Genomic DNA, 9,176 nt, shown 5'->3' on the forward strand with positions numbered 1-9,176 from the left:
AAATACTTAGTCTGGCTACACCAATAGAAGGTGAAAGAGTTAGCCACTTACTTTCCAGCTAGGATATAATGCTGTCCATATGGAATCATTACGGCTAGTGAGATATATCTCTGGTAGGAGACACTAAGAAACCCTTTGCTGCCTCTAGAAGAGACAGAGGTAGATAGCTCTACCTCTTTCTCTATCTTCTTGCTTTGAATGCAGAAGAGATGTCTTAAATTGTGGCAATCATTTTGCAATTTGAGGGAAACGCCTGGAGAATCCCAAATATACTGGCCCTGACATCACTGAGACACAGAGTAACTATCCATAATTGCCTATCTCAAAACTTCTTTTTATGTTAAAAAAAAAGCACCTATGTTTAATTTATTCTGCTATTCTAAGTTGAGCTCTCAGTTACTTGCAGCTGTAAGCATTTCTAACTGATACAATGAGATTAGTAATAGGACCTATTCCACAGAGTTTTTTATGAAGGTTAAATAAGATAACTCACAAAGAGCACTTAGCACGGTGCCCAACACATAGGGAGAATGGAGTAAACTACTATTAGCTGGTTGTGGTAGCAGCGGTAGCAGTGTCTTCATTATTATTATTATATTTTAAAACCTGCTGGGAAAAAGAATACACTTCCAAGAGGATATCTCTATGCGTACTGCCTTTTGAGTACAGCTATTCAAGGATTCAGGCATTCTTCAGGCTTAATTGGCTCCAAAGAGAATCTAGTACCCAAAAGAACTAAAGTGGCTGCCAAAGGGGCATTGCCTGCAACCATGGGTTACCTAAGGCATTGAAGAATCTGGGTTGGCACTAAAATCCATTGCAGAAGAAAGAAAAATAAGGTAAGGCAGAGCATAGCAATGTGGAGTTTTAAGAAATTTAGTTTATATAAAATATGGAGTTAAAGATTATGAAAATAAAATGCATATATTAAGAACAAGACAAATCAAATGCAATTACATATCAAGCAGAAAATGACATGTAATTTATTTTATTTTTAAAAGTGATTGATTGTATTTTAGAAAGTTACTTGTTCAGTAATTGTTAATTAAAGAACGTTCATCTTCCTCTCACCTTAGTGTTAAAAAAAGATAAATATTTGCTGCTTTACCACCACAAATGTAATGCCATGGTCCTGCCCACACAGTCCCATAATAACTGCTTCTGTTTTAAGTGTCCTGTACCAGTCTTTGCCACCAACTGGCAAGATACTAGATATAGATTTATTTCTAAATGCTTACAGTCAAGTTGATAATGTACAGTGTGAAATAAACAATATTATGTAATTCCCTAATTTATTGAGCTGGCCTTTCTGAAGCAGAATAGACCTACTTCCTGTCTTCTGGGTAAACACTGTGCAATTCAAAGCTCTGTGCCACACCGGCCCATTAGAGCTATCCCAATCTGCTGGCAGCACAACCATAACTAACACAGTGCCCCTTTTTCCTCCCTTCTTATTCATAGTGATGTAAGGATGAATTGTTAGCTTTAACTTTGAGTTTCCTGGCATTGGTCCATTTGTATCACCACCCTGGCGTTATTTAAGCACAGTGTGCTTCATATTTATGAGCTTACAAAATTTCTGGTCTCCTGCTTCTACCATTCTTAAGAACCATCAAGGGAAAAGGGTGTGACCATAAAAGCCAGTGTGTAACAAACCTCATTCAAATGCAGGCAGTGTATTGGGAACCTTAATTCTATTAGAGCATGGACAATGAATGTATTTGTGTTAGTTACTTTCCCACTTTGAGGTTAAACAAACCAGTGAATGGGACTCCGGGTGGCAGCAGAATGAGATACTACATTGGATGACGCAGGCAGACAAATGCCAGGGAGCATTTTAAAAAACAAGAAGTCTCTTTCCTGCCTTCCCATGACTTTTCAGCAATTTGGATTCTGTAAATGGAAATGAATAGCTCCAGTCCTCCAATATCTTCATTCAGCAGTTCGGTTCCGAGGTTCACGTGATGCATTTATCTTTGTGGCTGCTTCTAAGAAAATGTACCCCATTCAAAGAAGGTCTGAATTAACCTCAGTAAGTGTGTTCTGTCTACTCTTAAACTGATATCCCTTCCTGAATAAGGCCCTAATTTGCAATAGTTGCCAGACTGAATAACTTGCTGCAAACCTACCAATGCCACCACAAGACTTGTTTCCCACCAATGTGATTAACTGAATACAGTTGTGTTTAAAACACCATGTGCACACACACACACGCACACGCACACATAAGCACACATGCATGCCACACCTTTGATAATCGTGTAGGCTCCCACTCAAGTCCTCTATTTCAGCACCCATCTCCTGTTAATAATCAGCACTGACTCTGAGCAGGGGGAAAGGGGCTGCCACAAGCTGCCTCTACCACCTGCCCAAAGCCTTCACCTTACACACAGTTACTTAATACCACAGGTATCCAACATGATTTTTAAGTAAAACTGGAGGAATATGAACTCAACTTGCTTATTGTTCTGAAGATTAACATCTTTAGGTAGAGCATCTGATATAAGATAGGAAGACAAATACTAACGGGGCACTAGAAATGTGGGCAGCATTGCTTAACACACTCCATCATCAGCATCCTGCATTGTGGGCCTGAAGCTATGTTGACTTCAGTAAGCATCATTTAACAAGCATGAGAAAAGCACTAAGAATTAAACCCTTCCAAATCAGGCAGGTGTTGACTGATCAGACTACATACTGACAAGAGCAATATGAATAAACAGGTTAAATATGGATAACACGACATATGATTCTCCATGTGTCAGGGTTTAGAAAGCAATCCCTCAAGTCCAGTAGGAATTTCTGAAGATAAAATAGTCTACCTCTTGCTTCAGGAACCTCCCACCCAATACAAAGGGGTACTCATTGTTTTCTTACAATCTCACTGAAGAAGGGGAATATAATACAAATAACCTTTTATTAGTTCATTTCCACACTGCTATAAAGAAATACCCCAAACTGAGTAATTTATAAAGGAAAGAAGTTTAATTGACTCACCGTTCCACATGGCTGAGGAGGCCTCAGGAAACTTACAATCATGGCAGAAGGGGAAGCAAGCACCTTCTTCACAAGTTGGCAGGAAAGAAAGCTTCTGAAGTAGGAACTGTCAAACATTTATAAAACCATCAGATCTCATGAGAACTCATTCACTCTCATGAGAGTAGCATAGGGGAAACTGCCTCCATGATCCAATTACCTCCCTCCCTTGACACATGGGAATTACAGTTTGAGATGAGATTTGGTTGGGGACACAGAGCCAAATCGTATCAACCCTGACTGCCTTTTAGAGTAAAATTATTAAAGTGTTTTTTCTAAGACTCTTGGCCCTCACTTATTCTTACCTGGTTGGCATTCAATAAATATTTATGGTATTTCTAAAGTTTCAAAAAGTTCAGTAGCTATTTACATTAATAAAGCTCATTTTCTAAGGAAAGAAAAATTAACTATTTAGGTATTGTCACAGTTCAAGTCAAATTTTTACCCTTCAAGTTTACTAATTACATAAATATTATGAGGATAAAGAGAAAACACCAATTGAAATTTGTCTACAGATAGTCCCATGGAAATTCTTGCCACTTGTTTTTACCAATAACAAGTGTTTTTACCGCTTGTTTTTTCAAAAACTTGAACAAATGCATCATTTTCTCAATAGGCCTAAAAGAAATAAATATAAAAGTGAGGCAAGAAAACTGGGCACAGGTATGAAAATATATCTCTCAAGAAATAATACAGCCCTTGGTTTCATGTCAAACCTTAGGATTCCTAGTATTTTGTCATTTTTTTCAGTTTCTAAGGACTGTAGCAATAGAATGTTTGCTATTAGATCAATGAGTAGAAGAAACAGTGTAATGAGCTAGCTAGTAATTTTTAATCACATAGATTCAAGCTTAAAAATGAACTATGAGATACATGATAATTAAGATTGATTTAAAGTTTGTCATTCAATCCAGTTACTTTTAATAAGTTAGAAATGTATTTAGCAATAAACCCCACCAGGACAGACAATAAGATGACCCAAGTTGGTACTATTTTTCTTAAGTGAGTAAAGACCAGAGCTACAGAAGCCAGTGAACAAGAGCTGCATGACTCTTACTTAAAACACATCTTTGTCTGAAACATCCAGTGGGTTTAAACAACTGAGTTCTCCGGCTTCTGGCCTTGACTTATCAATCCAAGCCACAAACTTTTCCAGAAATGCTAATAAATATAAATCCACCTTTGTATAATGGTGGACAATATAGAAACAATAGTATTTAAACCAAGTTTAAACTAAAGCAGCTTATACCCACTTTATCAGAAGCAGCTTATACCCACTTTTTCAGAAGGCATTAAATAGAGAGTCTTTTCTACATGTCTTCTTCTACCTCCCACCTCAAAGAGAGCTGTTCTTCCAGACAGAAAGATCATATAATGTTCAGCTGCTGGCTATCTTCTAATTGCCAGTTTTACTACTGAGAATTTGGAGCCTATATCACAATTCTTCTGTGTCAGTGAATTAAAACCAGATGCCAATGCTTTCTCAGTATGACATATTTCTCTTACAGTTAGATTAATAAATGTAAATTTTAATGTCCTTTGGGACTGAGAGTGTATTTAGGCATCTCTCTTTTCATGATATGTCACAATAAAAACATGTACATTCAAGAAACTAATAATTTTTCATTACGATAGAAGTCCTAAACAATAAAATCTTCTTACATAGCATATAGGCAGAGCATGAACAGTGACAATGGCAGTTTTTGTTTTTCAACCAAGTCAACCAACAAAGGAAGGTCTGTACTTATCAGAATGAGAAAGTATTTTGGCCTCAGTTCCTATTTAGCCCTTGACCTCAAATGTGACTGACAAGTGGAGTGGTGATTTGGGAATGCGATCAGACACCTGTCCACTGAGGAATGGACTGAAGCCAACAGCTCATTACACAGAAAACTACTAAACAGCCATTGTAGAACAACGACTTTTCATCACCTGGGTCAGATACAAACCAATAACCTAGAGGTGAAAGGCTGTCCATCAAATTCTAGTTCCCACTTATCAGGTCCATTCAATTCCATCTATTCAGTTTTGAGGACTCTCTTCTATAGGTTTTTGCAAAAAAGGCCATGTGATTCAATAGAGTTCAGACTGTTATTATTTATGGGATGAACTGAAAGGATTATAGATTCTATCACAATTAAGTTCTCCCCTAATGAATCTGCAGGCTTTAAATAATCTTCTCAAAGTACACATCACTTTTCTTTTCTCCTTAGATACTCTTGTGAGAAGGCACACTGGGTGATTTCAATGGTGGATACTCTCAGCCCTGAAGTGGATTTGACATGTAGACGAGGCTGTTAAGCCCAAGACTGAAGTCCACACTAGTTGCAGCGTTCCTGATGTCTGAGCATGTATTCATGAATTAGCAACACAAGTGTTTAATTTTCATGCAAGTGCTTATGTGTTTACTAAAGATTAGCATTTTAATTAGTCTATATTTTTCTCTTAGACAATTGACACGAATACTATTTGCAGATACCTGACTAAGACGTTGCAAAGCATAAAAAAAAAAGCATCACACAGTTTTATTTAAAAATCCTAATTAGCTAGCCATTACTTTAGCATGAAACGAAATGACATGAAGTATAAGTTAGGTAACCACTGAATTTTTTATGGTTGGTTTAGTTTGAGGTTTTATTTTTTTACTTTATTTATTTATTGGGTTTTTTCTTCTCAAATATAGCTCTCCATAGAGTTCAGCAAAAGTCTTTTCTGTCAGATCTCTTTGTATTTAGTATTTGGGTCATGCTTGGAATATTAAGCATTTTGTCCTCCATTTTAAGTTCTTATAGTGTAACATTATGAGTGGCTTTAACTTAGCTAATTTCTGAGAGACATCAAAAGAAAATGACTGAGGTATTTCAGCTCTGTTTAAGGCTTTCTGCTACAATTGGGTAAAATCTTTATTATGAGTTTTTTTATGAAACACATGAAAAATGTAAAAGTTGTAAAAACATAACATAAGAATCTAGAAAGACAGAGGGGCATCACTTAAAAAGGCCCACAATAATGATTGTTGCATGAAATTTAGTCACTTAGGATTCCTCCTAAAGTCATTCCACAGATCCACATGCAGCAGTTCTGAGACAAAATGTGGTTCTCATGCGACTGCAGCAAATCAACTCACATATAACTCCACTTTCTTCCCTGTTATCAGGTCATTAAAATGGACAGATTTTAAAAATTCCTCTACTTTTTCATTTTTTCCAGGAACAATTTTTTCTTCTATTTCGTTCTTCATAGATATTTTTTCATTTTGTTCAATAATATTTTCCTAGTTTAACATATGTAGTCTTGTTTTGATTTACTCCTCCATACAATATTAGATTTGCACTTCCTTTCTAAATTATTTCTTGCAATTTTTCTAAAATAACATGCTTGATAATCATTACTTTATGCTTACAAATAATTTAGATGGCCTAAAATTTATGCAATGACTACAAATGTTTAATACAAAAATATTGAGATTGAAAAAATGTATCTTTAAGTTCATCAAACATAATTTTTGCTTGATATTATCTTTTTTTCCATGCAATGGTTAATTTGAAAGAAAAGAAAAAAGAAAGATGATTTTAAAAATTACCACCACAAAGATGAGCACAGAAGTCGCCTATGATGTAAATGTCATATAGACTTTTAAAAATGTATAATCGAATCTGATCATCATCATTGGCATGGTTATGACTAGCTGTCACACACATATGTTTTATGGTGTTATATATAATCATGTGGTGTTATTATAACATATAACATGACATCTGACAGACATTAAATGGCTCTCTGAAGAGAAGAGGGCAAGGAGACAAGAGACATCAAAATTTTCATGAAAAATAAAATAAAACAAAACAAATGTAAGGGCAAATGATTAAAAAGGGAACAGTTATTATGGTCTCTCTTTTCTTTTATAGAATCACTCAGAAAATAAAGCCTCCAAATTTGGGCTCTTCAATATTATTTTTAAGCACTTAAGTGTGTAGGGAAATCTTCAATCTTTATATGCAGACTCTGGCTATTTTACAAAATATAATGACCCCCTGTTTATCTGGCACTGATAGTGAATCAGGTTTCCATACAAGTGAAAGTATTTATTATACATGATACTTATTTTTATCTCTTCATGTTTTCAGCTATATCTATTTAATATTATCAATATTCCTTTGTCTAGTAGTCAATTTATTATTCCAATTTCAAATTCTAACAGGCTAGAAACCCAGATAACCTGACATTGAAATTATATGAGGTAATGAGGCATTATATTTGTCTTAAATATGTGAAATATAGTGTGAAGACATCTTGGCATCTGCATTTGCTTCTTAAAAGCTTTTTGGTTTGTTGTTGTTGTTGATTTTGGCTGCCTCTCTTGCTCATAGCCATATCTACCATTAGGTTTAGTAGCTGAAGGAGTGAGCTCTAGATAAAAGACATGTTGTTACTATATTAGAGCCTTCTAATGACTCTATAGGACAAAAAGAACTAGTATAGTCAAATTCAATACATTGTATTCTGACCACTTGATCTGGTCATTTTTAATCCCAAATTAGAGTCAACCACATTATGATCCTTTTTTATGCTACATTTTTAGATAATCATTGGTTAACAACAGATTCCTATCTTAGTATTAGAAACAAAGTCTAGCTCTGATTGAGGTCAACTCTTACCTGCTACTACGCAGTAACTTTCAAGACACTGAAGAACTGGAACATGGGGAGGAGCCAAGATGGCCAAATAGGAACAGCTCCGGTCTACAGCTCCCAGCCTGAGCGACGCAGAAGACGGGTGATTTCTGCATTTCCATCTGAGGTACCAGGTTCATCTCACTAGGGAATGCCAGACAGTGGGCGCAGGTCAGTGGGTGCGCGCACCGTGTGCGAGCCGAAGCAGGGCGAGGCATTACCTCACTCAGGAAGCGCAAGGGGTCAGGGAGTTCCCTTTCCTAGTCAAAGAAAGGGGTGACCGAAGGCACCTGGAAACTCAGGCCACTCCCACCCGAATACTGCGTTTTTCCGACCGGCTTAAAAAACGGCGCACCACGAGATTATAACCCGCACCTGGCTTGGAGGGTCCTACGCCCACGGAATCTCGCTGATTGCTAGCACAGCAGTCTGAGATCAAACTGCAAGGCCGCAGCGAGGCTGGGGGAGGGGCACCCGCCATTGCCCCGGCGTGCTTAGGTAAACAAAGCAGCCGGGAAGCTCGAATTGGGTGGAGCCCACCACAGCTCAAGGAGGCCTGCCTGCCTCTGTAGGCTCCACCTCTGGGGGCAGGGCACAGACAAACTAAAAGACAGCAGTAACCTCTGCAGACTTAAATGTCCCTGTCTGACAGCTTTGAAGAGAGCAGGGGTTCTCCCAGTACGCAGCCGGAGATCTGAGAAGGGGCAGACTGCCTCCTCAAGTGGGTGCCTGACCCCTGACCCCTGAGCAGCCTAACTGGGAGGCGCCCCCCAACAGGGGCACACTGACACCTCACACGGCAGGGTACTCCAACAGACCTGCAGCTGAGGGTCCTGTCTGTTAGAAGGAAAACTAACAAACAGAAAGGACATCCACACCAAAAACCCATCTGTATATCACCATCATCAAAGACCGAAAGTAGATAAAACCACAAAGATGGGGAAAAAACAGAACAGAAAAACTGGAAACTCTAAAAAGCAGAGCGCCTCTCCTCCTCCAAAGGAACGCAGTTCCTCACCAGCAATGGAACAAAGCTGGACGGAGAATGACTATGACAAGCTGAGAGAAGAAGGCTTCAGACGATCAAATTACTCTGAGCTACGGGAGGACATTCAAAGCAAAGGCAAAGAAGTTGAAAACTTTGAAAAAAATTTAGAAGAATGTATAACTAGAATAACCAATACAGAGAAGTGCTTAAAGGAGCTGATGGAGCTGAAAACCAAGGCTTGAGAACTACGTGAAGAATTCAGAAGCCTCAGGAGCCGATGCGATCAACTGGAAGAAAGGGTATCAGCAATGGAAGAGGAAATGAATGAAATGAAGCAAGAAGGGAAGTTTAGAGAAAAAAGAATAAAAAGAAATGAACAAAGCCTCCAAGAAATATGGGACTATGTGAAAAGGCCAAATCTACATCTGATTGGTGTACCTGAAAGTGATGGGGAGAATGGAACCAAGTTGGAAAACACT

At 37.9% G+C, this 9,176-nt stretch overlaps 3 annotated features.

Moving 5' to 3' along the window:
- Window positions 5,087-5,628: an enhancer, noted in NCBI's record as "NANOG hESC enhancer chr5:87345495-87346036 (GRCh37/hg19 assembly coordinates)". NCBI's record gives its function as "activates a minimal SCP1, AML or CMV promoter by ChIP-STARR-seq in naive H9 embryonic stem cells {active_cell/tissue: H9 hESC(naive)}" and the evidence as "EXISTENCE:reporter gene assay evidence [ECO:0000049][PMID:30033119]".
- Window positions 7,435-7,976: an enhancer, noted in NCBI's record as "H3K27ac-H3K4me1 hESC enhancer chr5:87347843-87348384 (GRCh37/hg19 assembly coordinates)". NCBI's record gives its function as "activates a minimal SCP1, AML or CMV promoter by ChIP-STARR-seq in primed H9 embryonic stem cells {active_cell/tissue: H9 hESC(primed)}" and the evidence as "EXISTENCE:reporter gene assay evidence [ECO:0000049][PMID:30033119]".
- Window positions 7,977-8,517: an enhancer, noted in NCBI's record as "H3K27ac-H3K4me1 hESC enhancer chr5:87348385-87348925 (GRCh37/hg19 assembly coordinates)". NCBI's record gives its function as "activates a minimal SCP1, AML or CMV promoter by ChIP-STARR-seq in naive and primed H9 embryonic stem cells {active_cell/tissue: H9 hESC(naive and primed)}" and the evidence as "EXISTENCE:reporter gene assay evidence [ECO:0000049][PMID:30033119]".

Source organism: Homo sapiens, chromosome 5, assembly GCF_000001405.40.
Source record: "Homo sapiens chromosome 5, GRCh38.p14 Primary Assembly".
In the NCBI taxonomy this organism is placed as follows: domain Eukaryota; kingdom Metazoa; phylum Chordata; class Mammalia; order Primates; family Hominidae; genus Homo; species Homo sapiens.